Source organism: Homo sapiens, chromosome 22 (assembly GCF_000001405.40).
Source record: "Homo sapiens chromosome 22, GRCh38.p14 Primary Assembly".
Taxonomy (NCBI): Eukaryota; Metazoa; Chordata; class Mammalia; order Primates; family Hominidae; genus Homo; species Homo sapiens.
The window spans coordinates 24,189,503-24,217,153 of NC_000022.11; the positions used below are offsets into that span (position 1 = coordinate 24,189,503).

Consider the following 27,651-nt stretch of genomic DNA (forward strand, 5'->3'; position numbering starts at 1 on the left):
CAGGCTCCTTAGCCCAGGAATGTCCAGAATCTGGGCACAGAGCCCAGGCCTCAGGCCACGGTGGCCCACCTGAGCAGCTCTTTGTCGGCGCTTCCTGTGGGGCCTGGCATGGAGGCACAGACCTGGAAGCAGCTGGAGGATGACCAGGGTCCATCAACCTTTGTGGAGAGGGTCCCGAATGGGGACTCAGGCAGGGTAGCATTGGTCGGGTTTGCCCCTTAGGTCTCAGAGAAAGTGCTGGAGAGGGTGAGGCTGGAAGTTGGGGGCCAGGTAGAGAACACTGGGTGGGGAGTTGAGCCGCCTCAGTGTGACCTGCAGCGCTGGGAGTGGCCATATAGGGGCAGCAGAGGATAGGAACAGCGAGTCTGGGTGGCAGGAGGTTGGGAGGGCAGTCAGCCCTGCCCTGCAGCTGGGTCAGCCGACTTGGTCACAACCGCAGCCAAGGTCTGCGCACAGCCCACCCCTCCGCCTCCCCGCACCTGGGTCATCCCCGCATCTCAGGAGTGTTGAAGAGGTTGCACAGGTCTCCCCAGGTCATTCAGCGGGCACTGACCATGGGGTGGGAGTCCAGGCCTCTCACCTGCTCAGCCTTGCCCTTGGTGAATGGGAGAGCTGGGGAGGCAGAGACATGTCTCATCTGAGGCCTTCCTGGAGGAGGTGAATGTGCATGATGGGGCACGTGTGCGGGAACCGAGCTGAGGGTTGCAGGGCAGGGGTGGCGGGAGGCTAGCGGAGGGGAATGGGGTCTGGCCTTCTCTCTTTCTAGAGCTCACTCCGTTGCTTCCCCATTCCCCTGGGTTTGCACCTCCAGGCATGGTGGGGCTGAGGGTCAGCCCCTTGGCGGGCTGGGCAGGTACTTTCCTCCCTACAGATGAGGTAAGGCAGGGCTCCCCTCCCACTGTCTGAATCCCCAGCGCACCCCTGTGCCACGCCAGGCCTGGGCCGGCCACGTGTCAGTGGGTGAGAGGTCAGTTTCCGGGTCAAGGCCTGGACATGAGGGAGCGGGCACAGGTTTTCAGGGGGCCCAAGAGCGGCAGGGGCAGCTTGGCAGCTCATCAGGTCCACTAGAGGGTGTCCCAGACAAGAGCAGCCCCCGAACTGAGGTCAAGAAACAGGTTGGATTCTCAGAGCTCTGATTGGTTGGACAGGGGTTCCAGATGGACAGGGGTTCTGGGTAGAGGAGCAGTCTATGCAAAGGCTCAGAGAAAGAGAAGTGCAGTCATGTCTGCGGAATGACAGGGGTGGGGGCCAGCCAAGGCCTCCCCTGCCAGGCCAAGGCATTTAGATTTCATCCTAAGAGCAAAGTGTGGCCTGCCTCGGGCTCCCCCACCCCCACCAGTCTCCCTCCAGGATGGGCCCTTGGTCTGCCCCCCCACCTCCCCTTTCCAGCAGGAGAAAGGGTGCCCTGTCTGTGGCCCCAGTCCCAGACATCAGATGTTCCCAGTGCCAGGGGCAGGCCAGGCTGGGAAGCCCCACCACCTGCCAGGGGCTTTTCCTGGGGCCCGAAAGAGATAGAGACAGGGCCTGTGCAAAGGCAGAAGGCCTGGAGCCGGTGCAGACTCTCTAGAGACATCAAAGGCAGGGACCGCTGCCTCAGGGAGATGGTCTCCCAAATAGCAGCCCAGGGCTTGCAGGACGGGCAGCCATGGGAGCTTGCGGGTGGCTTACAGTAGGGTTGAAATGATGGAGTATCAGAGTCACCCAATGGCCGGTACCATCGTGGTGGTACCAGTCAGAGTGGGGCAGATGGTAATCCAGGGCTTTGGAGACACAGGTGATGAGAGAGCTGGGGGGGTCAAACAGGAGCCGATGAGGTACCAGCAGGATCCTAAGACCCACCTTGGGCAGAAGGGCAAAGGGAGGAAGGAATGTGCTATGGGAGCCAGGCCCAGATCCCATGGAAGCGGGCGTCACGCAGGCCTGTGGGCCAAGGGGAGTCACAGAGGTGACAGCCCAGCTGCAGGTCCCCTGCTGGCTAGAGTAGGGAAGCCCGGCTTCTCTGTGCCCCCTGCCCTCCAGCCTCCCACTAGGTCTCCTGTTGGCTGAGCACAGTGGGTGCGGCTGATCTGGGGGCCAGGGAGGGCTCTGACTCGGTACAGTACAGTACAGGCACAGCTGGGGAGCAAGGGACCCCTTCTTCTGCCAAGCTGCTTCCTTCTGCAAGCCCCAGGGTGGCCGAGTGCCTGCTGTGGGCCAGACCTCTGCTAGGCCCATCAGGACACCCCTGTCCTCAGGGTCCAATGCTGCCAAGGAGGAGGCGGGGGGGTCGGTGCAGCGCACTGTAGGAGTGGGAAGTCAAGGAGGCATCGTGGAGGAGTGCGGCTTCCCACAGGCACCCCTTCAGGCTTTCACCAGCTCCCTTTGTTGCAAGGATGTGAGGATGACTGACTTTGGAAGTCATGCCAACCAAGTCCCTGCTGACCTGATCACCCACCCACTACTCTTCCAGGACCAGGAAATAAACTTCTTTTGTGATTAAGCCTTAATATGTTTCAGGGACCATTTGTTGAAGCAGTTAGTTGGTGCTGAGATGGGAAAGAAACTTTTCTTCTGTGAGACAGGGTCTCACTCTGTCACCCAGGCTGGAGTGCAGTGGTGCGATCATAGCTCATTGCCGCCTCAACCTCCCAGGCTGAGGTGATCCTCCTGCCTCAGCCTCACAAGTAGCTGGGGCCACAGGCACGCTCAGGCTGGTCTTGAACTCCTGGGGTCAAGCAATCCTCCTGCCTCGGCCTCCCTAAGTGCTGGGATTACAGGCATGATCCACTGTGCCCGGCCAAAAAGAAATTTTTATCTGAGGAACGAGAGCCCCCTTTAATTATCAGGCCCAGAGAGGCACTGAAATGTGATGGGGTGTCACAGCAGTCACGCCTCACTCCCACCTTGACGCCACTTGCTAGGTGGGTTCTAGACTAACCGATGTCAAGTAGCCATAAAATGTCATATGCTGGACACCATAATGTAGGGGCCAAGGGAAAACTTCCCCTTTACCCTCTGAAAGTTCAAGGAAAAATCAACTCACAAAAGGCAGATTAATTGGAAAACAAGGTGTACCAAGTTATTAGCATGCGTTGGGGGAGAATCACAGAGTCATTGCCGAATATCCCAGTGGGATAAAGATGCTGATATACCCTGCTTCTTAGGGGAAAGGGCGATGGGAATCTCTCCTTTGATACTCAGCTGGAGCCAGACTCCTCCAGGAAGCCCCCCCTGACTTCCCACTCCTACAACGCACTACACTGGCCACTCCCTCCTCCTCGGCAGCACTGGACCCTGAGGAGAGGCGTCTCCCGATGGGCCACAGCAGGCACTTGATCACCCCAGGGCTAGCAGGAGATAGGGAGTGTGGATGATTTCAAGAGGACAGTGCATGATTTGGGGTGGGGAGGATTTTTTTTTTTTTTCTTTTTTTGAGACAGAGTCTCCGTCTGTCCCTAGGCTGAAGTGCAGTGGTGCAATCTCAGGTCACTGCAACCTCCGCCTCCCAGGTTCAAGCTATTTTCCTGCCTCAGCCTCCCTAGTAGCTGGGACCACAGGCGCCCACCACCACACCCAGCTAATTTTTGTATTTTTAGTAGAGATGGGGTTTCACCATGTTGGCCAGGCTGGTCTTGAACTCTTGACCTCAGATGATCCTTGTGCCTTGGCCTCCCAAAGTGCTGGGATTACAGACATGAGCCACTGCCCCTGGCCTGGGTGGGGAAGATTTAATGGGCTTAAAGAACATACAATGGCTCTGTTCTGTTCCATTGATCTATATCTCTGTTTTGGTACCAGTACCATGCTGTTTTGGTTACTGTAGCCTTGTAGTATAGTTTGAAGTCAGGTAGTGTGACGCCTCCAGCTTTGTTCTTTTGGCTTAGGATTGACTTGGCGATGCGGGCTCTTTTTTGGTTCCATATGAACTTTAAAGTAGTTTTTTCCAATTCTGTGAAGAAAGTCATTGGTAGCTTGATGGGGATGGCATTGAATCTGTAAATTACCTTGGGCAGTATGGCCATTTTCATGATATTGATTCTTCCTACCCATGAGCATGGAATGTTCTTCCATTTGTTTGTATCCTCTTTTATTTCCTTGAGCAGTGGTTTGTAGTTCTCCTTGAAGAGGTCCTTCACATCCCTTGTAAGTTGGATTCCTAGGTATTTTATTCTCTTTGAAGCAATTATGAATGGGAGTTCACTCATGATTTGGCTCTCTGTTTGTCTGTTGTTGGTGTATAAGAATGCTTGTGATTTTTGTACATTGATTTTGTATCCTGAGACTTTGCTGAAGTTGCTTATCAGCTTAAGGAGATTTTGGGCTGAGACAATGGGGTTTTCTAGATATACAATCATGTCATCTGCAAATAGGGACAATTTGACTTCCTCTTTTCCTAATTGAATACCCTTTATTTCCTTCTCCTGCCTAATTGCCCTGGCCAGAACTTCCAACTTTATGTTGAATAGGAGTGGTGAGAGAGGGCATCCCTGTCTTGTGCCAGTTTTCAAAGGGAATGCTTCCAGTTTTTGCCCATTCAGTATGATATTGGCTGTGGGTTTGTCATAGATAGCGAACAGAGCCCTCAGAATAACGCCACATGTCTACAACTATCTGATCTTTGACAAACCTGAGAAAAGCAATGGGGAAAGGATTCCCTATTTAATAAATGGTGCTGGGAAAACTGGCTAGCCATATGTAGAAAGCTGAAACTGGATGCCTTCCTTACACCTTATACAAAAATCAATTCAAGATGGATTAAAGACTTAAAACGTTCGACCTAAAACCATAAAAACCCTAGAAGAAAACCTAGGCAATACCATTCAGGACATAGGCACGGGCAAGGACTTCATGTCTAAAACACCAAAAGCAATGGCAACAAAAGCCAAAATTGACAAATGGGATCTAATTAAAGAGCTTCTGCACAGCAAAAGAAACTACCATCAGAGTGAACAGGCAACCTACAAAATGGGAGAAAATTTTCACAACCTACTCATCTGACAAAGGGCTAATATCCAGAATCTACAATGAACTCAAACAAATTTACAAGAAAAAAACAAACAACCCCATCAAAAAGTGGGCGAAGGACATGAACAGACACTTCTCAAAAGAAGACATTTATGCAGCCAAAAAACACATGAAAAAATGCTCATCATCACTGGCCATCAGAGAAATGCAAATCAAAACCACAATGAGATACCATCTCACACCAGTTAGAATGGCGATCATTAAAAAGTCAGGAAATAACAGGTGCTGGAGAGGATGTGGAGAAATAGGAACACTTTTACACTGTTGGTGGGACTGTGAACTAGTTCAACCACTGTGGAAGTCAGTGTGGCGATTCCTCAGGGATCTAGAACTAGAAATACCATTTGACCCAGCCATCCCATTACTGGGTATATACCCAAAGGACTATAAATCATGCTGCTATAAAGACACATGCACACGTATGTTTATTGCGGCATTATTCACAATAGCAAAGACTTGGAACCAACCCAAATGTCCAACAATGATAGACTGGATTAAGAAAATGTGGCACATATACACCATGGAATACTATGCAGCCATAAAAAATGATGAGTTCATGTCCTTTGTAGGGACATGGATGAAATTGGAAATCATCATTCTCAGTAAACTATCGCAAGAACAAAAAACCAAACACCGCATATTCTCACTCATAGGTGGGAATTGAACAATGAGAACACATGGACACAGGAAGGGGAACATCACACTCTGGTGACTGTTGTGGGGTGGCGGGAGGGGAGAGGGATAGCATTGGGAGATATACCTAATGCTAGGTGACAAGTTAGTGGGTGCAGCGCACCAGCATGGCACATGTATACATATGTAACTAACCTGCACATTGTGCACATGTACCCTAAAACTTAAAGTATAATTAAAAAAAAAAAAAAAAAACATACAATGGGCTGGGCCACGTGGCTCATGCCTATAATCCCAGCACTTCAGGAGGGCGAGGCAGGCAGATTATGAGATCCAGAGATCGAGACCATCCTGGCCAATATGGTGAAACCCCATCTCTACTAAAAATACAAAAATTATCTGGGCGTGGTGGCGAGCGCCTATAATCCCAGCTACTCGGGAGGCTGAGGCAGGATAATCACTTGAACCCGGGAGGCAGAGGTTGCAGTGAGTCGAGATTGCACAACTGCACTCCAGCCTGGGCGACAGAGTGAAACTCCATCTCAAAAAATAAAATTAAATACAATAAAACAAACAAGGAAACCATACAATGCCCTGGGACAAAGTCTGTTGGGCCTGAAGAGCAAACAGTAGATTGTGACAAGTCTGTCCAGGTGTGCTGACAGATTTCAGTCTTTCTTCCTGTGATAAGAGTTCAGTTAAGGAAGACTCACAGGAGGGACCAGAGCTCATTGTTTTCTTCTTTGGCAGGTCCAGACTTCAGGCAGATAGAGAACTTCAGAGAACAACTTCATCCTGAGCTCTGGCTGACAGATTGACACAGAGGCAGGGAGAGGTCATAGAGACCTTGTGGCTTCTTCTTCAGTTCAGTGCTATATTTTGGGGTATCAGTTTCTGATCCCCAGCAATAACTCATACTCTATAGTTCAACAGTAACCAGCCAGGCAAGGAGCAGTGGCTCACATCTGTAATCCTAGCACTTTGGGAGGCTGAGGCAAGAGGATCACTTGAGGCCAGGAGTTCGAGACCAGTCTGGGCAACATAGTGGAGCCTGTCTACACACACATACACACACACACACACACACACACATTTAGCCATGGCAGCATGCACCTGTAGTCCCAGCTACTCGGGAGACTGAGGCAAGAGGATCATTGGAGCCCTGGAGGTTGAGACTGCAGTGAGCCGTGATGGCACCACTGCACTCCAGCCCAGGCAACAGAGCAAGATCTCATCTCTAAAAAAAAAAAAAAAAAAAAGTATAGCCAATCACTAACACATGTTATTGAAACTGCATTTGCAAAAGTATAACCAAGGAAATTATGACAGTGAAAGAAATCAGAGGTAACCGACTCCATCTTGCTTCTAACCTTTAAGCTGTTCTTCTTCATTCCTGGGTGTAGGCTGAACTAACTTTGGGAAGGAACTCAGTTCATGGTTTGACTCTGAAACAAAATTGGTAACAGCCCTTTCCTGAAAAGACCCCCTTCTTGCCTAGGGACCAGTCCGCATTTGCAGGACTAACAAGATTAAAAATTACAGTTTAGGGGTCATGCTGCCTCTGGCTCCAAGAGTCTGAACCTCCCCAAATTGCTCCTGGGAATAACATCACTGTTGTAAAACTTAAGATCAGTGCTGGAGATATTTGGCAGTCCCTGCACTCCATGGATCAGCTGACACCACCCAGACTGCTAATCTGGTTCAACCAGTTGTGCCATCGCAGCCAGGAACAGAAGACAGCAAAAAAAAAAAAAAAAAAAAAAAAAAAAAACAACAACTAAAAACTCACTGCGGGCTGGGCACGGTGGCTCACGCCTGTAATCCCAGCACTTTGGGAGGCTGAGGCAGGCGGATCACCTGAGGTCAGGAGTTCGAGACCAGCCTGACCAACATGGAGAAACCTTGTCTCTACTAAAAATACAAAAATTAGCCAGATGTGGTGGTGCATGCCTGTAATCCCAGCTACTTAGGAGGCTGAGGCAGAAGAACGCTTGAACCCGGGATGTGGAGGTTGCAGTAAGCCGAGATTGCGCCATTGCACTCCAGCCTGGGCAACAAGAGTGAAACTCCATCTCGAAAAAAAAAAGAAAAAGAAAAACTCACTTCAACCCCCTGTGATTCCACCTCCAACCTGACCAATCAGCACTCCCCACTTCCCAAGCTCCTACCCGCCAAATTATCTTTAAAAATTCTGGGCCGGGCGCGGTGGCTCACACCTGTAATCCCAGCACTTTGGGAGGCCGAGGCGGGTGGATCACGAGGTCGGGAGATCGAGACCATCCTGGCTAACACGGTGAAACCCCGTCTCTACTAAAAATACAAAAAATTAGCCAGGCGTGGTGGTGGGTGCCTGTAGTCCCAGCTACTCGGGAGGCTGAGGCAGGAGAACAGCGTGAACCCAGGAGGCAGACCTTGAAATGAGCCGAGATCGCGCCACTGCACTCCAGCCTGGGCCTTCCAAGTAGCTGGGATTACAGGAGCGTGCCACCACGCCTGGCTAATTTTTGTATTTTTAGTAGAGATGGGATTTCATCATATTGGTCATGCTGGTCTTGAACTCCTGACCTCAGGTGATCCGCCCACCTCAGCCTCCCAAAGTGCTGGGATTACTGGCATGAGCCACTGCACCCAGCCAGTGTCTTTCTTTAGGTCGACAGTCCCTGTAACAATACACCAGAGGCATAGGTATAAAAATATGGTCTTACCTTTTTCATTAGTGTGGAAAATAAAGTGTGTGTGCAAGGTGAAAAAAAATCTAAACAATTCAGGGAACTAGCTGCTGGCTAGGGGACATTGAAGCTGTGCTCAGCCTTTTGCTTCTTTAAACACTTGTACTGTGTAAATAAGTTCAGATTAACCTGGAGGAGAAATTCACAGAAGTAGATTGGCTGGTTAAATGGCACAAGCATTTTCTATCTAGAGTTGTACCAGTTGACGCCGCCACCAACCTACAACAGAGCCTGGGTCCCCATGCAGTCACTGGCGTTTGGAGCCTTCACCTTTTTTGCTCTTTGCCAGATAGACAGAGCCTTCACCATGTTGCTGGGTGGTGTGACGTTTCCCAGAACTCCCTCCTGCGTGTTTCTGGTTAGGGTGAGCCACAAGAGATTCCCATGCAAGATTTGGCAGAAGTGAAACTTAAGTCATTTTCTTAGCTCGCTCTCCAGTCACGGCCACAGGCAGAGCCCAGGCCTGCAACTGTTCTGCCTTCCCTTGGATCTGCCTTCAACTGTGCCGACTCCTGGGCCAGATGTGTGACAAAAGGTCTCAGCTTTTCAGGAAACCCTTGTCACCCATGGCAACAAGATAGGACCACTCGTGGTGGCTCACACTCGTAGTCCCAGCTATTTGGGGGGCTGAGGTAGGAGGATCACTTGAGGCCAGGAGTTTCAGACCAGCCTGGCCAACATAGTAAGACCCCGTCTCTACTGAAAATACAAAATTAGCTCGGCGCAGTGGCACATGCCTGTAATCCCAGCACTTTGGGAGGCTGAGGCGGGTGGATCACCTGAGGTCAGGAGTTTGAGACCAGCATGACCAACATGGTGAAATCCCGACTCTACTAAAAATATTAGCTGGGCATGGTGGCGACGCCTGTAGTCCCAGCTACTCGGGAAGCTGAGGCAGGAGAATCGCTTGAACCCACTGGAGGTTTTGGTGAGCTGAGATTGCACCACTGTACTCCAGCCTGGGTAACAGAGCCAGACTCTGTCTCTAAATAAATAAATAGCCAGGCACACTGGTGCACGCCTGCAGTTCCAGCTACTCTAGGAGGCAGGGTGGGAGGATTGATTTAGCCTGGGATGTCAAAGCTGCAGTGAGCAGTGATCACAACACTGCATTCCACCCTGGGTGACAGAGTGGGACCCTGTCTTTAAAAAAAAAAAAAAGAAAGAAAAAGAAAATGCCAGTTTTTCTTTCTTTCTTTTTTTTTTTTTTTTTGAGACGGAGTTTCGCTCTTCTTGCCCAGGCTGGAGTGCAGTGGCACCATCTCAGCTCACTGCAACCTCCACCTCCTGGGTTCAAGCGATTCTCCTGCCTCAGCCTCCCGAGTAGCTGGGATTACAGGCATGTGCCACCATGCCCGGCTGATTTTTGTATTTTTAGTAGAGACGGGGTTTCACCATGTTGGTCAGGCTGGTCTTGAACTCCTGACTTCAAGTGATCCATCCACCTCAGCTTCCCAAAGTGCTGGGATTACAGGCAGGAGCCACCGTGCCCAGCTGAAAATGCCAGTTTTTCCTTTCTTTCTTTTTTTTTTTTTTGAGATGGAGTTTCGCTGGTCGGCCAGGCTGGAGTGCAATGGTGCAATCTCAGCTCACTGCAACCTCTGCCTCCTGGGTTCAAGCAATTCTCCCATCTCAGCCTCCTAAGTAGCTAGGATTACAGGTGCCCACCACCATGCCCAGCTATTTTTTGTATTTTTAGTAGAGATGGGGTTTCACCATGTTGGCCAGGCTGGTCTCGGAACTCCTGACCTCAGGTGATCCGCCCGTCTTGGCCTCCCAAAGTGCTGGGATTACAGGCGTAAGCCACTGTGCCCAACCCCAAATGCCAGTTTTTCAAAGTGGTTTTACAATTGACATTTGCACCAACAGCATGTGAGAGTTCTGTTGTGCCAGATTCTTTCCAACATTTGTTATTGTTGGTCTTTTTCTTTTTTTTTTTTTTTTTTTCTGAGACAGAGTTTTACTCTTGCTGCCCAGGCTGGAGTGCCATGGCATGATCTCGGCTCACTGCAACTTCCGCTTCCCAGGTTCAAATGATTCTCTTGCCTCGGCCTCCTGAGTAGCTAGGATTACAGGCGCGTGCCATCACGCCCGGCTAATTTTTGTATTTTTAGTAGAGATGAGGTTTCGCCATGTTGGTCAGGCTGGTCAGGAACTGCTGGCCTCAGGTGATCTGCTCGCCTCGGCCTCCCAAAGTGCTGGGATGACAGGTGTGAGCCACCACGCCTGGCTGGTCTCTTTCATTTTAGCCATTCTGATGGGTGTGCAATGATAGCACGTTATTGAATTAATTTGAGCTTTTCTTACAAGGCTGAGCCAGTGAAGTTGTGCACCCTTTCAGACGTTCATTGGCCACCTAGACCTCCTCTTTTGTGAGACATCTATTCAAGTCTTTTGCCCATTTTCTATTGGCTGGATTTTTCTAATTGATTTGTAGGAGTTTTTGGATAAGAGTTCGTTGTCAGCTGCAGATATTCACCCATTCTGAGAGTTGCCTTTTCACTGTTTCAGTGATGTCTTTTGTTGAACAGAATTTCTTAATTTTCATATAGTCTGATTTATTAATTTTTTCTTCTATAATTAGTACTTTTTGTGTCCTGTTTAAGAAAAATTTTTGGTATGCAACAAAATAAAAAAAAACAAAGAGAAGCATTTGCCTACTCTAAAGTCACAAAGATATTCTCTTTCTTTCTGTAAACACTGCTTAATATTTTATTTGATTATTTGTTTATTTATTTTTAGAGATGGGGTCTCACTATGTTGCCCAAGCTGGTTTCGAACTCCTTGGCTCAAGTGATCCACCCACCTCAGCCTCCCAAGCAGTTGGGATTATAGGCATGAACCACTGTGCCCGGCAAATTGCTTAATATTTTATAATTAGATTAGCAAACCAAATAGAATAGATTTTTGTGGGTGGTGTGAGGTTGGCTCAAGGTACGCTTTTTTCCTATGGATAGCCAAATGACTCAGCTCCACACACCGAAGCCGCATTCCTTCCCCACTGCACTGGTATGTCCCCTCTGTCAGAAGTCAGGTGACCCTCTGTCCCATTCCACTGGCCAGTTTGTTCATCTTTGCACCGATACCAAATTGTCTTCATTACCATAGTTTGTTCTTGAGTATGTTCTTGTAGTATGAGTTTGAGTATGTTTAGGAGTTTGAGTAGTATGAGTTGTAGTATGAGTTTGTAGTTTGAGTTTGTTCTTGTAGTATGAGTTCACCATTAGAATGCCCTCTTCCTCAGGATTTCCTGGGCTAGTTCTGGTCCTTGACATTTTCAGATGAAATTTACAATCAGCTTGCTGATTTAAAAAAACGAACTGTTAGGATTTTGATTAGATTTGCATTGAATCTGTAACCCAGCAGCATGGCTTCAAATTGCATTTTAAAGCTTTGTTTTCCAGTAGGGACAGTGGCTCACGCCTGTGATCCCGGCACTTTGGGAGGCCAAGGTGGGCGCATTACTTGAGGTCAGGAGTTTGAGACCAGCCTGGCCAACATGGTGAAACCCCATCTCTACAAAAAATACAAAAATTAGCCTAGTGTGGTGGTGGGCGCCTGTAATCCCAGTTACTTTGGAGGCTGAGGCAGGAGAATCACTTGAACCTGGGAGGCGGAGGTTGCAGTGACCTGAGATTGCGCCACTGCACTCCAGCCTGGGTGACAGAGCAAGACTCTGTCTCAAAAACAAAACAAAACAAAAAAAAAAACCCAAAAACAACTTTGTTTTCTTTCCTCCTTTTTTCCCAATCTTAAGGTGTAACTTTGAAACAAAGTGCAGATGTGTTTCTACCTTGGAATGTTCAGAATGTGAACCTCCTCTCCCTTTCTTTTCCCGGTTTTTTTTTTTTTTGGATAGAGAGTCTCACTTTGTCACCTAGTCTGGAGTGCGGTGGCATGATCTCTGTTCACTGCAACCTCCACCTCCCGGGCTCAAGCGATCCTCCTGCCTCAGCCTCTTGAGTAGCTGGGATTACAGGCTCACGTCACCACGCCCAACTAATTTTTTGTAGAGGCGGGGTTTCGCCATGTTGGCCAGGCTGGTCTCAAACTCCTGTTCTTAACTGTTCTAGCCGCCTTGGTGTGATGGTTACTACGGGAATGAACGAAGGGGGATGAACATAGAAATGAAAACAAATACAAAAGGATTTTTTAAAGAGGGAGTCGGGGGCTCCTTGCTTCTAGTAGGCAAAGGCAGCCCTGAGCTTCTAGAGTCCTTCACTTTTATTGGGTAGAAAGAGCTGGGAGGAGGAGGTAATGATTGGTCAGCTCCTTGATTGATCACAGTATTGTTAACAGGCTTCAGATGTGCAGCCTGCAACACCTTGGCCTTCCAAAGTGCTGGGATTACAGGCATGATCCACCGCACCTGGCCTCTTTTCCCATTCTATGCCCCCATGCCTTATGCACTATTTACTTACCTAGCCGCTTGCTAAGAACACACCACACTCACTTATCTGGTCATATATTTCCTTAGAAGCTTCAGAGGCCAGATCCTGATACGGACCAGACACCTCTAGCCATGACGGCACCGGCCCTTTCACCAGATGAAACAATAATTCAAGACAAGCCATTGGAGTGAGTCACGCCACCTGATACCTCCCAGCCCCTCTGCCTTTTCTGCATTCCAAATCCTCTCTTAAAATACCCCCGCATTCGGGGCCAGGCGCGGTGGCTCACGCCTGTAATCCTAGCATTTTGGGAGGCCGAGGTGGATCACGAGGCCAGGAGATCGAGACCATCCTGGCTAACACGGTGAAACCCCGTCTCTACTGAAAATACAGAAAAAAAAAAAAAAAAAATTAGCCAGGCTTGGTGGCGGGCACCTGTAGTCCCAGCTACTCAGGAGGCTGAGGCAGTGGAATGGCATGAACCCAGGAGGCAGAGCTTGCAATGAGCAGAAATCGTGCTACTGCACTCCGGCCTGGGTGACAGAGCGAGACTCCCTCTCAAAAAACAAACAGAAACACCTGCATTCTCTCCACAAACTGAAGAGTGTAAATTTTTGGAAAGAATTACACTCACTCCTCCCTTGCTAGCATGGATAATCACATCTCACTCTCTCTTCTTATCACACCTCACTCTTGTTACATGGGCTTCTTTTTACAAGTAAGCAGCGGACCCTTTTGCCGGTTGCAAATCAGGGTATGAATGTGGCGAGAAATGGAGTATACCCTCTGTTTATTTAGGTTTTCCTTAATTTCTCTCAATTATGCTTTGCAGTGGTCAGTGCAGAAGTCTTGCATATCTTTGTTAGTTTTACATCTAGGTTTTTAACTTTTTTATGCTATTGTGAAAGGAAAATAAAAACTCAGGACCCCAGTTCACTATACCAAAAAAAAATTAAGTTGAATGCTGAGCCATGCAAGCAGCTACCTTTCCCTTTGTTCCTAAGCAGATAGCTACAGATAAAAGGTTCCAGGCTCAGCTGGGCGCGCTGGCTCACGCCTGTAATCCCAGCACTTTGAGAGGCCAAGGTGGGTTGATTACCTGAGGTCAGGGGTTCGAGACCAGCCTGGCGAACATGGTGAAATCCCATCTCGACTAAAAATACAAAAAAAAGTAGCCAGGCGTGGTGGTAGGCGCCTGTAATCCCAGCTACTTGGGAGGCTGAGGCAGGAGAATCACTTGAACCCAGGAGGTGGAGGTTGCTGTGAGCCAAAATTGTGCCACTGCACTCCAGCCTGGGTGACAGAGTGTCTCAAAACACCACCACCACCAACAACAACAATGCCCAAATCTGACTGGGTGCATGGCACACGGCTGTGATCCCGGCACTTTGGGAGGCAGAGGTGGGCATATCTGAGTTCAGGGGTTCGAGACCAGCCTGGCCAATATGGTGAAACCCCATCTCTACTGAAAATACAAAAATTAGCCAGGAGTGGTGGCATGTTCCTGTAATCCCAGCTACTCGGGAGGCTAAGGTAGGAGAATCGCTTGAACCCAGGAGGCAGAGGATGCAGTGAGCCAAGATAGCACCACTGCTCTCCAGCCTGGGTGAAGGAGTGAGACTGTCTCAAAAAAAAAAAAAAAAAAAAGGTTCAATACCTCCAGTCTATGTTCACCTTATCTTGAGTTCAATATCTCCACTCGATGTTCACCTAATCTTGTGTAAAGTGCTGATTTACTGATTTACTGAGCACAAGTATCAGAGGCGTGTGAACCAGAGCAACTCCATCTTGAATAGGGGCTGGGTAAAATGAGGATGAGACCTACTGGGCTGCATTCCCAAGAGGTCAAGTCATTCTTAGTCACAGGATGAGATAGGAGGTCGGCACAAGATACACGTCATAAAGACCTTGCTGATAAAACAGGTTGCAGTAAAGAAGCCAGCTAAAACCCACCAAAACCAAGATGGCAACGAGAGTGACCTCAGGTCTTCCTCAGTACTACACTCTCACTGGCGCCATGACAGTTTACAAATGCTGTGGCAATGTCAGGAAGTTAACCTATGTGGTCTAAAAAGGGGAGGCATAAATAATCTATCCCTTGTTTCACATATAATAAAAAATAACCATAAAAATGGGCAACCAGCTGCCCTCCACACTGCTCTGTCTATGGAGTAGCCATTCTTTTATTCCTTTACTGTCTTAATCAACTTACTATGGACTTGCCCTGAATTCTTTCTTGCTGGAGATCCAAGAACCTTCTTTGGGGTCTGGATTGGGACCTCTTTCTGGTAATGCAAGAGGAATACGTAATTTACTCTTCCCCTACCTGCTCCTTTGTGCTTTCTTTCTCTCTCTCTCTCTCTCTCTCTCTCTCTCTCTATATATATATATATATATATATGGCTGTTTGTAAGAAAGAGCGCCCAACTGAAATCAGCCAGAAGCCCCTCTCAGGTTTATTCTCTAGAATAAACCTGTCTTTAACTGTTGAGCCACTTTTCATGTTTCCTTCCTCTTTCTTTAACTGTTATAGTCATTATCTGTAGATACTCGAGAAACTGTTAGAAATAGGTGAATTGAGCTATATATATAGAGAGAGAGAGAGAAAGAAGGAGAGAGAGAGAGGGAGAGAGAGAGAGAGACACTGGGTCTTGCTCTGTCACCCAGGGTGGAGTACAGTGGGGCAATCATGGCTCACAGTAGCCTGGACCTCCTGGGCTCAATCGATCCTTGTGCTTCAGCCTGCTGAGTAGCAGGGACTGCAGGCATGCACCACCATATCTGGCCAATTTTTGTATTTTTTTGTAGAGATGGGGTTTCACGATGTTCCTCAGGCTGGTCTTGAACTCCTGGGCTCAAGCAATCTTCTCACCTCACTCTTCTTTTTTAAATTTTGAAGCCCTCAAAGTCACCTTTGGGGAAAGGCACAGACCATAGGCTGCTTCTGTGATTCCATTTTTTTTCCCCTCCTGGGCATTGTCCTTAACCTTGGCAAAATAAACTCTTAAGTTGATTGAGACCTGTTTCAGATGCTTTTTGATTCACACTACTACAAGCGATTTTACTTCAAAAAAGGTTTTTTTGTTTATGGCTGGTACGTAGAAATAACATTGATTTTTGCATATATTCCTTGATTCCAATTGATGCGGCTTTGATGACTGGAGGAACACCAGGGTTTTGGTTTTGTACTGATAGGATTAATGACACCGACACATGTGGAATGGTTTTTTGTTTGTTTTTAGCTTTTTATTTTTTTGAGACGGAGTTTCACTCTTGTTGCCCAGGCTGGAGTGCGATGGCACCATCTCAGCTCACTGCAACCTCCGCCTCCCAGTTTCAAGCAGTTCTCTTGGCTCAGCCTCCTGAGTAGCTGGGATTACAGACATGTGCTGCCACACCTGGCTAATATGTGTATTTTTAGTACAGACGGGGTTTCACTATGTTGGTCAGGCTGGTGGAGTGGTTTTAAGGAGCAAAATGTTTAATAGGCAAGAAAGAAGGAAGAAGAAAACAGCTTCCCCTTACAGAGACAGAGCAGGGGGATTTGAATAAAGAGAAACCCCATGTGAGTCAGAAAAGTGGTTGCTTTTATTGGGATGCTGGAGGAGTTGGTGTTTGATCTGCATAAGGCCCAGGGGATTGGTTTGACCAGGTGTGTTATTTACCCAGCCAGTGAAAAACCTGGCCCTTTTACTTTAGTCCTTTAATATGCAAATGCAGATTGCAATGTTTTGAACACATGATGTTATCTGGAGGTGGCCATGACACTTGGGATACCTGGTGACAAGGAGATGATGGTGGGAATTGCCATATTGGGTGAACCCAGTTTTTAAAGGCCGACATTTGCATATTAAAGCTTGCTGGCCCCGCCCTTCGAGCTGCCTTTTTTGTTAGAAAAGAGATGGTTTGGGGGTTGTTTTTTATTACAGGAAAATTTTTACCGAGAACCTTTACCTTTATTATTTGTCTAAAAATTATTTTTAATAACTTCTGTATTACAATGACCTTGCTCAATTCACCTATTTCTTTATTTTATTTTATTTTTATTTATTTATTTATTTTTTTATTTTTTTTGAGACGGAGTCTGGCTGTGTCTCCCAGGCTGGAGTGCAGTGGCGCGATCTCGGCTCACTGCAAGCTCCGCCTCCTGGGTTAACACCATTCTCCTGCCTCAGCCTCCTGAGTAGCTGGGACTACAGGCGCCTGCCACCGCACCCGGCTAATTTTTTGTATTTTTAGTAGAGACGGAGTTTCACCGTGTTAGCCAGGATCGTCTCGATCTCCTGACCTTGTGATCCACCCGTCTCGGCCTCCCAAAGTGCTGGGATTACAGGCCTGAGCCACCGCGCCCGGCCCAATTCACCTATTTCTAACCGTTTCTTGAGTATCTACAGATAATGACTGTAAGAGTTAAAGAAAGAGGAAGGAAACATGAAAAGTGGCTCAACAGTCAAAGACAGGTTTATTCTCCAGAGGGGCTTCTGGCTGATTTCAGTCAGGGGCACTCTCTCTTACAAACAGTCATTTGTAGTTTTCTTTCTGTGAACAGTGAATCACATCCCTGTGCATATTTCTACTGGATACTTGGTCTTTAATACTAATAGTATTTATTGGTTTTTTAGGGTTAGAGGGCTTATCACAAGCTTGGAATGTTTCTGTGTGGGGGAGAAGTTTATGGGGGGGTTGGAATGTCTCTGGTCCCAGGGGAGGTTATCTTGGGGCTAATGTCTCTCTGGCCGGAGGGGAGGTTATCTCGGGGCTGGCATGTCTCTGGTCAGGGAGGGCTTTAGAATGTTTCTGGTTGGAGATGTTATTTGTGGTTTATGGTCATGCTGACCTTAGCCATTAGGCTGATGCCCTTTGGATTTAGGCAGTTTTTGATCAAGGTGAACTTTAAAATGATGGTGCTTGTCCAAGATGGCAATGCTCCTGCTCTGTCAATGACAGTCTTATGTCCTCCTTTCCAACCTTTATGGCTTTTGTTTTTCTCACCTTATTACATTGGCTAAAACTTCCCCTGTAATACTGGAAGGAAATAATGAAATAATTCTTAGCTTGGTTTCAATCTCAAAAGGGAGGCTTTTTATGTTGTACCTTTAAGCATGACATTTACTGTAGGTTTTTGTAGCCACGATTTATCAGATTAAGGAAGTTTCCTTTCATTCCTAGTTGCTGAGAGTTTTTATTGTAACTGAATGTTGGCAAATTTTATCAAATGCTTTTCTGCATCTACTGAGATGGTGAGTGACTTTTCTTCTTTATTCTGTGAGTGTGGTGAATTGTGTTGCTTGATTTTCTTTTTTCTTTTCTTTTTGTTTTGTGACAGGGTCAGGCCCTGTCATCCAGGCTCGGGGGCAGTGGTGTGATCATGGCTCACTATAGCTTTCCACCTCCCAGGCTCAAGTGATCCCCCAACCTCAGCCTCCCGAGTAGCTGGGACTACAGGCGCATGCCACCATGCCCAGCTAATTTTTGCATTTTCTGATAGAGACAGGGTTTTACCATGTTGGCTCGGCTGGTCTCGAACTTCTGGGCTCAAGCGATCCATAGGCTTCAGCCTCCTAAAGTGCTGGAATTACAGGTGTGAGGCTTCATTTTCTAATGTTCAGCCAATCTTGCATTCCTGGAACAAACCTAAATTGGTGGTGACGCATATTTTTTCCTTTCAAGCCCTGGTTTCTTCATGTTTTAAGGGCTATGCATCTCTGTTCATGAATCAAATAGCCCTAGACTTTTCCTTCTTGACATTTTTTTGGCCAGGTTTTGCTTTCAAGGTTATGCTAGCTTCTTCAAAGACGTTGAGCAACCTTTCCTCTTTTCTGTTCTCTGGAAGTTTGTGTAAGACTGGTATTTTTTCTTTCATCAGGGTTTCAAAGAATTCACTGAGGAAGTTCTGGGCTCGGAGTCACTTCCTCTGGCCCTGTGGGATCTCACTGTTGTTTGAATTGGCAATGTTTATTTATGAGTAGGCTTGAGAACTTTTTGTCTGTTGAAACAGCCATTTGTAGTTTTCTTTCTGCAAACAATGAGTCACATCCCTGTTCATATTTCTACTGGATACTTGGTCTCTAATATTAAATATTTAAGTATTTAAATATTTCAAAAACCAGCCCCACATCATGTATTGAAACTGTTTTTCTCCAGGTTTTTCACTGGTCTTTTGTTGTTGTTGTTGTTGTTGTTGATAATAGAGATGAGATCTTACTGTGTTGCTCAGGCTGGTCTCAAACTCCTGGGCTCAAGTGATCCACCTACCTGAGGCACCCAAAGTGCTGAGATCACAGGTGGGAACCATTGTGTTCAGCTTTATGTAAAAAAAAAAAAATTCTGAAAAGACCAGTGAAGGCTGGGCACAGTGGCTCACACCTGAGATCCCAGCACTTTGAAAGGCTTAGGTGGGTGGATTGCTTCAATCCAGGAGTTTGAGACCAGCCTGAGCAACATGGCAAAACCCCATCTCTATTTTTAAAATTATTTTTAAATCAAAAATTTTTGGCTGGGGGCGGTGGCTCACACCTGTAATCCCAACACTTTGTGGGGCTGAGGCAGGTGGATCACCTGAGGTCAGGAGTTCGAGACCAGCCTGACCAAGATGGTGAAACCCTGCCTCTACTAAAAATACAAAAATTAGCCGGATGTGGTGGTGGACGCCTGTAATCCCAACTACTTGGGAGGCTGAGGCAGGAGAATCGCTTGAACCCGGGAGGCGGAGATTCCAGTGAGCTGAGATTGTGCCACTGCACTCCAGCCTGAGCAACAGAGTGAGACTCCATCTCAAAAAAACTTTTAATATTTAAATAAAAATAAAAATTAAACTAAATTTAAATTTTTAATTTTTACATGTTCATATTTATTAGCTTTTTTCTTTTATGGCTTTTTGGTTTTATGACATGCCTAAAAAGGCCTGCCCCACTCTAAGAACATAAACAAAATTTGCCCATGTGTTCTTGTGATATTCATATGGTTTCATTTTGGTTTGTTTGTTTGTTTTGAGACAGAATCTTGCTCTGGAGTGCAGTGGCACAACCTCGACTCACTGCAACCTCCACCTCCCAGGTTCAAGTGATTCTCCCACCTCAGCCTCCCAAGCAGCTGGGATTACAGGCGCCCACCACCATGCCCAGCTAATTTTTACATTTGGAACGTTAGTACTTTAGTCTCCCCATCTATAAAACTGGTATAATCACAGCTCCCCTTCTGGAGAGAATTACATAAATTAACGCATGTAAAGGAATAGAATAGCACCCAGCCCAACTCATGCCGTTTCTGTTGTATTAAGATATATATTCGGGTTAAGGGAAGTTCTGTGAAAGGACCATATGTGCAAAGAGACCCCCACATGCTGAAGGAGCCAAGAAACCAAAGAAGGAGGCCGACAAATCAAGTTTGTTGGTGTGGCACAATTCATTACGGGAAACTTACAGACAGAAGCATGGTCTTGGGCAGCCACAAGACAAGTAATCGTGCACACGGCAAATCCCCAGACCCAGGACTTGTATCTTGGGGAAAATATATGTACCCTGTTAGGAATGTGTAAGTGGCCACAGTTGTCACAGCCTGTGATTTCTGCAACAGCATCGAGGGTGATTTTGGAGGAAATGTACAGTGATTAGGTGTTTCTGCATAATGAGTAAAATACATCAACTACACATTTTGGAGGCATTCCCAGACTCAGGGTTAGTTAGAAGTTATATGGTGAATTAGCATTTAAGATACAGTCACTTTTGTCCTCACAAAGGCGTATCCATCCATTCCCATTTTATTCAGTGTTTTTTTTTTTTTTAAATCTGTTTGTTTTTATCAAGAATGTGTGTTAATGGCTGGGTGCAGTGTCTCACGCCTGTAATCCCAGCACTTTGGGAGGCCAAGGCAGGTGGATCACCTGAGGTCAGAAGTTCGAGACCAGTCTGGCCAACATGGTGAAACTCCGTCTCTACTAAAAATATAATAATTAGCTGGACATGATGGAAGGCACCTGTAATCCCAGCTACTTGGGAGGCTGAGGCAGGAGAGTTACTTGAACCCGGGAGGCGGAGGCTGCAGGGAGTCAAGATTGCACCATTGCACGCCAGCTTAGGGGACAAGAGCGAAACTCAATCTCAAAAAAAAAAAAACACACACAACAACAAAAACAAATGTGTGTTAATGTGCTGGGCACGGTGGCTCACACCTATAATCCTAACGCTTTGAGAGGCCAAGGTGGGAGGATCATTTGAGCTCAGGATTGAAGATCAGCCTAGGCAACATGGTGAAACGCCATCTCTACAAAATATTAGCTGGGCATGGTGATGTGTGCCTGTAGTTTCAGCTACTCAAGAAGCTGAGGCAAAGGCTGGGCGTGGTGACTCATGCCTGTAATCCCAGCACTTTGGAAGGCCAGGGTGGGCGGATCACCTGAGGTCAGGAGTTCGAGACCAGCCTGACCAACATGGTAAAACCCTGTCTCTACTAAAAATACAAAATTAGCTGGGCATGGTGGCGCATGCCTGTAATCCCAGCTACTCGGGTGGCCGAGGTAGGAGAATCGCTTGAACCCGGGAGGTGGAGGTTGCAATGAGCCGAGATCGCACCACTGCACTCCAGCCTGGGCAACAAGAGCAGAACTCAGTCTCAAAAAAAGCAAAAACAAAACTGAAGGGGTGGGTTGCCCCTCCACACTTGTGGGTGTTTCTCGTAAGGTGGAACGAGAGACTTGGAAAAGAAAAAGACACAGAGACAAAGTATAGAGAAATAAGGGGACCCGGGGAACCAGCGTTCAGCATATGGAGGATCCCGCCAGCCTCTGAGTTCTCTTAGTATTTATTGATCATTCGTGGGTGTTTCTCCGAGAGGGGGATGTGTTAAGGTCACAAGACAATTGTGGGGAGAGGGTCAGCAGACAAACACGTGAACAAAGGTCTTTGCATCATAGACAAGGTAAAGGATTAAGTGCTGTGCTTTTAGATATGCATACACATAAACATCTTAATGCTTTACAAAGCGGTATTGCTGCCCGCAGGTCCCACCTCCAGCCCTAAGGCGGTTTTTCCCTATCTCAGTAGATGGAACGTACAATCGGGTTTTATACCGAGACATTCCATTGCCCAGGGACGGGCAGGAGACAGATGCCTTCCTCTTGTCTCAACTGCAAAGAGGCATGCCTTCCTCTTATACTAATCCTCCTCAGCACAGACCCTTTACGGGTGTCGGGCTGGGGGATGGTCAGGTCTTTCCCTTCCCACAAGGCCATATTTCAGACTGTCACATGGGGAGAAACCTTGGACAATACCTGGCTTTCCTAGGCAGAGGTCCCTGCGGCCTTCCGCAGTTTTTGTGTCCCTGGGTACTTGAGATTAGGGAGTGGTGATGACTCTTAAGGAGCGTGCTGCCTTCAAGCATCTGTTTAACAAAGCACATCTTGCACCGCCCTTAATCCATTTAACCCTGAGTTTGACACAGCACATGTTTCAGAGAGCACGGGGTTGGGGGTAAGGTCACAGAATCTCAAGGCAGAAGAATTTTTCTTAGTACATAACAAAATGGAGTCTCCCATGTCTACTTCTTTCTACACAGACACAGTGACAATCTGATCTCTCTTGCTTTTCCCCACACAAAACAAAACAAAAGCTGAGGCAGGAGGATCTCTTGAGCCTAGGAGGTCAAGGCTGCAGTGAGCTGTGATCGCACCACTCCACTCCAGCATGGGCAACAGAGTGAGACCTGTCTTTAAAAAAAAAAAAAAAAAAGAATGGGTGTTAAATATTGTCAAATGCGTCTTCAGTCTCGATGGAGTGATTTTTTTCTCCTCTGGTGAAAGGTAAGAGCTAAGAGTCACGGTCAGGGACATACTGAGAAGATCTTCCTTGCAATATTAGCGTTGGCTCCACTAGGGTAGGTAAGTCATGTTGTTCTTTTTAATGTACTACTGGATTCTCTTTTTTAATTATATATTCTCCAATTTTGTTAGGATTTTGCTTTGCATCATAAACACAATTAGTCTGCGGTTTTCTTTGCCAAGTTTGGGGTCAGTGCTACGCTGGCTTCATAAAGCAGATGTGCAAATTTTCCTCCTTATTCTATGGTGTGGGAGCTTAATTGGCAGAAGAGATCTCAGGTCCTGACAACACGACACACTTAACCTGTGGAACTTTCCAGAAGAGTGTTTAAGGCAGGACAGTGTTCTGACAATGTTCTCAATTCCTTTTTATGATCACTGATGTGTTTAGACCTTTGCCCATTATTTTTGGTTTCATTTGTCACTTATATTTAAGGTTGCCAGAGTTAGAATATAAAAATATAGGATGCCGGCCGGGCACGGTGGCTCACACCTGTAATCCCAGCACTTTGGGAAGCTGAGGCCGGCAGATCATTTGAGGTTAGGAGTTCGAGACCAGCCTGGCCAACGTGGTGAAACCTTGTCTCTACTAAAAATACAAAAATTAGCCAGATGCAGTGGCGGGTGCTTGTAATCCCATTTACTCGGGAGGCTGAGGCACAAGAATCCCTTGAACCTGGGAGGCGGAGGTTGCAGTGAGCCAAGATTGCACCACTGCACTCCAGCCTAGGTGACAGAGTGAGACTCCATCTCAGAAAAATAAATAAATAAATAAATAAAAATATAGGATGCCCAATTAAATCTGAATGTCAGATAAATGACAATTTGTTTTTAGCCTAAGTATGTCCTAAGTATTGCAACTCAACTCCATTTATATTGTCCTAGAAAGGCTTTTATTATGTCCAAGTTTTCAAATTTATTAAAATAAAGATGAGTAATCTTTTAAGTTCCCCTATAGATGTGATTATTTCTTCATTCTCATTTCTTATTTTGTGTATTCATTTGTACCAATTCACTAGCTAATAGCCTATCTTTTTTTTTTTCAAAGACCTATTATTCTGATTTCAAATTTATCAGTTTCTGCTTCAGTTGTTCCTGAGTTCTTTCGCTTTCTTTATTTTTCCTTTACTGACTTTTTTATTCTTTTTTTTTTTTTTTTTTTTGTGATGAAGTCTCGCTCTGTCGCCCAGGTTGTAGTGAAGTGGCATGATCTCGGCTCGCCGAAACCTCTGCCTGCTGGGTTCAGGTGATTCTCCTGCCTCAGCCTCTTGAATAAATGGGATTACAGGCGCCCGCCACCATGCCTGGCTAATGTTTGTATTTTTAGTAGAGATGGGATTTCACCATGTTGGTCAGGCTGATCTCAAACTCCTGACGTCAAATGATTGGCCTGCCTCAGCCTCCCAAAGTGTTGGGATTACAAGTGTGAGCCACCATGCCCAGCCTACTTTACTAACTTCTTAAATAATATACTTTATTTATTTTTGTTGGTTTGTTTGTTCGTTTGTTTTTCAGACCGAGTCTCGTTCTGTCACCCAGGCTGGAGTGCAGTGGCACGATCTCAGCTCATTGCAACCTCCACCTCCCGGGTTCAAGCGATTCTCCTGCCTCAACCTCCCGAGTACCTGGGACTACAGGCACACGCCACCATGCCTGGTAATTTTTTTTTTTTAGTAGAGATGGGGTTTCACCATGCTGGCCAGGCTGGTCTTGAACTCCTGACCTCGTGATCCGCCTGCCTTGGCCTCCCAAAGTGCTGGGGTTACAGGCATGAGCCACAGCGCCTGGCCTGTTTGTTTTTGAGACAGAGTCTCGCTCTGTCACCCAGGCTGCAGTGCAGTGGCACGATCTCAGCTCACTGCAACCTCTGCCTCCCAGGTTCAAGCAATTATCCTCCCTCAGCCTCCCAATCAGCTGCGATCACAGGTGCCCGCCACCACACCTGGCTAATTTTTTTGTATTTTTAGTAGAGACGGGGTTTCACCATGTTAGCCAGGCTGGTCTTGAACTTCTGACCTCAAGTAATCCACCTGCCTTGGCCTCCCAAAGTGCTGGGATTGCAGGCATGAGCCACCGCACCTGGCCTATTTATTTTGATTCTTATTTTTTATGTAATATTTAAGCAAATGAATTTTCCTCCGAGCCCTGCATTAGCTGTATCCTGAAGGGTCAGATCTGTATTGATTACAGTGTTAGTTGAAGATGTCGCCCTTTTGGTATTGATTTCCTCTGTGTAACAAGATGTTTCAAAAGCCAGCTGTAAGAGTCTCTGGCTGGGCTGGGAATGCACACTGGCTGGCACTGCTGGTGGTGCAGAATGGATGTAGGGGCAGGGCCTGGGCAAGTCTCCCAGGGTGGGATGAGCAGGGAGGGAGAGGAATGGGCTTCCTCCAGGGCCTCAGGAACCAAGGAAGTCTCTGCACTACCTCCAGGCAGGGTCAGATGTGCATTTTCCAAAGCTTATTGCATTAGGAGTGGGGAGTAGACTGTGGTGGTGCCAGCAGCAAAAAGATGGAAAAGAGAGAAGGAGGTGGAGTCAGGGCTGAACCACACAGCTGGAGGGAAGAGGGGGGTTCTACGAGTAGCGCAGGAGGGAGGCGAGGCAGGCACCGCAGAGCTTCCAGCTGCCTCAGGGCCGACTTCCATTTGGCACTTTGAGTCCAAGGTGCCTGTGCACCTTGTCCAGATGCTCTGGAGGTGGTTGCTCGGGTATGTGGGTCTGAGACTCCAAACAGCTCGGCCAAAGCCGACATGGAGATCCATCAGTTCACAAGTAGTGAATGAGCCTTCTCAGGTGGGTGGCAGTCCCAGGGTGGCCAAGGGTCCAGGGAGTGCACCCTCACTCTGCAGGTGAGTCAGAATCAGGCACCACAGAGCCAGGGTTGCACCCCTGCTGGGGGGAACAGGAGCCCCTTTTCCTCTCCCCGACACACAGGGACAAAGTTATCATGCTCTTTGGGTGCCACTGGGAGGCACTGATGGGAGAGACTGGCCAGGCCTTCCCAAGCAAGCTCCAGGCAGCCTCCCAGCACCCCGGCCCAGGCGCAGGTGTGGTCTGGGAGCACAGAGCCAGGTTCCCACCGTGGGGCACCTGAGGTTTGTGCCTAGCAGCCTTCTCCTCCTTTGGTTCCCTTTTCCTTTTTGGTCCACAGGGTTTGGGACAGGTGGCTGCTACCAACAGCTCTCAAGGTGGCCCCACAGACCTGAGCCAACCACTTCTCCTCAGCCCTCCCCTGCCCATGAAGACTGCTCAGAGGGGCCCCATTGAGAGCTGGATCTGGGACTTTGTTTAAACTGCAAGGAGAGAAGCTCTGTCACCCTGCAGGGCGTGAAGTTCAGCTGAAGCCATTGAGATCATGGCCTGGGAGCCTATCTAGCAGGAGGCTACCACACGGAGGGCCCTGACGGTGTGAGTTCGGCCTCTGGATCCCACCACACTGAAGCACTCCAGAGACTCCCTTCTCTCTAAACCCACCAGTTCTGCTCCCTGGACCCCTGACCCAGCCGTGCTGCTTTCAAAGATCTGTCTTCCACTGCCTCCCAAAGCCAGATCGCAGGAGAAGCTGGTGGTCTCGCATCTGCCTGAATTCTGACAGCGGCCCACGAGAGTCGGTGATGATGGCAGGTCTGCCCAAGTGGTGGGCCGGCTTGGCCCCCTCATCTCAAAGTGAGCCATGTTTTGCTCCCAGACCTTCCTCCTAGTCTGCCAGACCACCTCTTCTAGCCATGCAGTCAAGCCCAGATTAGGAATTAGCCCCATCCAGCCCCTCTCCCACATACAACCTCCAAATATATCCACATCCCAATCCCTAGAACCCAAGATTAGACCTTATATGGCAAAAGTGACTTTGAAGATGTGATTCAATTTTTTGAGATGGGGAGATTATCCTGGACCATCCAGGTGGACCCACTATGCCCCCAAAATTCACGTGTTGAAAGCTAATCACCAATGTGATAGCGTTAGCAGGTGGGGCCTTTGGGATGTGGTTAGGTCATGAGGGTAGAGCCCTCATGAATGGGATTAGTGCCCTATAAAAGAGACCCCAGAAGCCAGGCATAGTGGGCTGCACCTACAGTCCCAGCTACTGAGGAGGCTGAGGCAGGAAGATCTCTTGGGTACAGGAGTGAGCTATGATCACGCCATTGTACTCCAGCCTTGGTGACAGAGTGAGACCCTGTCTCTAAAGTAATTAAATAAAAGAGACCCCAGAGAGCTAGCTAGCTTCTTCCACTATGTCAGTTAGAAGGTGCCATGTATGAGGACATGGGCCCTCACAGGACATCAAATCTGCCAGTACCTTGATCTTGGACTTCCCAGCCTCCAGAGCTGTGAGCAATAAATTTCTGGAAAATGCTATAAGCCACCCACTTTCCAGTATTTTTGTTATGGCAGCCCAGGCAGACTAAAACAACCTCTGTGGCACATTTGGGGTGATGGAGGAACAGCCGATGTTCCTAGGAACCAGTGAGGCGCAGGAGTCCCAGATCCCTCTAGTGAGATCCCCAGAGAGCACCACGTACCCACCCTGCAGCTGGCAAAGCTATTTATGGAAGTTAGGGGCCTGTTGGTTTAGAGCGGCCATTCTCAACCAGGGGGATGTGGCACTGTCTTGAGACAGTTTTGGTTGTCATGAGTGGGTGTGTGCGGTGGGGAGTGCTACTGCATCACACAGGCTGAGGCACGGGATGCTGCTCAACATCCTACAGTGTGGGGACAGCCCCCCACAACAAAGAATCATTTCATTCGAAACATGGATGAGGACCAAGCGCAGTGACTCACACCTGTAATCCCAGCACTTTGGGAGGCCGAAGCAGGAAGATTGCTTGAAGCCAGGAGTTTGAGACCAGCCTGGGCAACATGGTGAAACCCCATCTTTACAAAAAAAGCAAAAAATCAGCCGGATGTGGTGACACACACCTGTACTCCCAGCTACTTGGGGGCCTGAGGTGGGAGGATTGCTTGAGCCCAGGAGGTCGAGGCTGCAGTGGGCTGAGACTGCACCACTCCACACCAGCCTGGGTGATAAAGTGAGACCCTGTCTCAAAAAAAAAAAAATTAGCTGAGCACGGCAGCGTGCAT

General features: G+C 47.7%; 1 long non-coding RNA gene across 1 annotated transcript, besides 6 other annotated features; it reads left to right on the forward strand.

Moving 5' to 3' along the window:
• Nucleotides 71–712: an enhancer, noted in NCBI's record as "H3K4me1 hESC enhancer chr22:24585541-24586182 (GRCh37/hg19 assembly coordinates)". NCBI's record gives its function as "activates a minimal SCP1, AML or CMV promoter by ChIP-STARR-seq in naive H9 embryonic stem cells {active_cell/tissue: H9 hESC(naive)}" and the evidence as "EXISTENCE:reporter gene assay evidence [ECO:0000049][PMID:30033119]".
• Nucleotides 6,286–6,486: a silencer, noted in NCBI's record as "peak4472 fragment used in MPRA reporter construct". NCBI's record gives its function as "represses an SCP1 promoter by STARR-seq MPRAs in K562 erythroleukemia cells {active_cell/tissue: K562}" and the evidence as "EXISTENCE:reporter gene assay evidence [ECO:0000049][PMID:32103011]".
• Nucleotides 8,558–8,607: an enhancer, noted in NCBI's record as "active region_18764". NCBI's record gives its function as "activates an Ori minimal core promoter by ATAC-STARR-seq in GM12878 lymphoblastoid cells {active_cell/tissue: GM12878}" and the evidence as "EXISTENCE:reporter gene assay evidence [ECO:0000049][PMID:35858748]".
• Nucleotides 8,738–8,857: an enhancer, noted in NCBI's record as "active region_18765". NCBI's record gives its function as "activates an Ori minimal core promoter by ATAC-STARR-seq in GM12878 lymphoblastoid cells {active_cell/tissue: GM12878}" and the evidence as "EXISTENCE:reporter gene assay evidence [ECO:0000049][PMID:35858748]".
• Nucleotides 15,788–16,756: an enhancer, noted in NCBI's record as "H3K27ac-H3K4me1 hESC enhancer chr22:24601258-24602226 (GRCh37/hg19 assembly coordinates)". NCBI's record gives its function as "activates a minimal SCP1, AML or CMV promoter by ChIP-STARR-seq in naive and primed H9 embryonic stem cells {active_cell/tissue: H9 hESC(naive and primed)}" and the evidence as "EXISTENCE:reporter gene assay evidence [ECO:0000049][PMID:30033119]".
• On the forward strand, nucleotides 24,086–26,928 carry LOC124905090 (uncharacterized). Its single transcript, XR_007068023.1, has 2 exons — nucleotides 24,086–24,227; nucleotides 25,724–26,928. It is a non-coding gene; the product is annotated as an uncharacterized LOC124905090 (long non-coding RNA).
• Nucleotides 24,127–24,653: an enhancer, noted in NCBI's record as "H3K27ac hESC enhancer chr22:24609597-24610123 (GRCh37/hg19 assembly coordinates)". NCBI's record gives its function as "activates a minimal SCP1, AML or CMV promoter by ChIP-STARR-seq in primed H9 embryonic stem cells {active_cell/tissue: H9 hESC(primed)}" and the evidence as "EXISTENCE:reporter gene assay evidence [ECO:0000049][PMID:30033119]".
• Nucleotides 26,929–27,651: the final 723 nt, after the last annotated feature.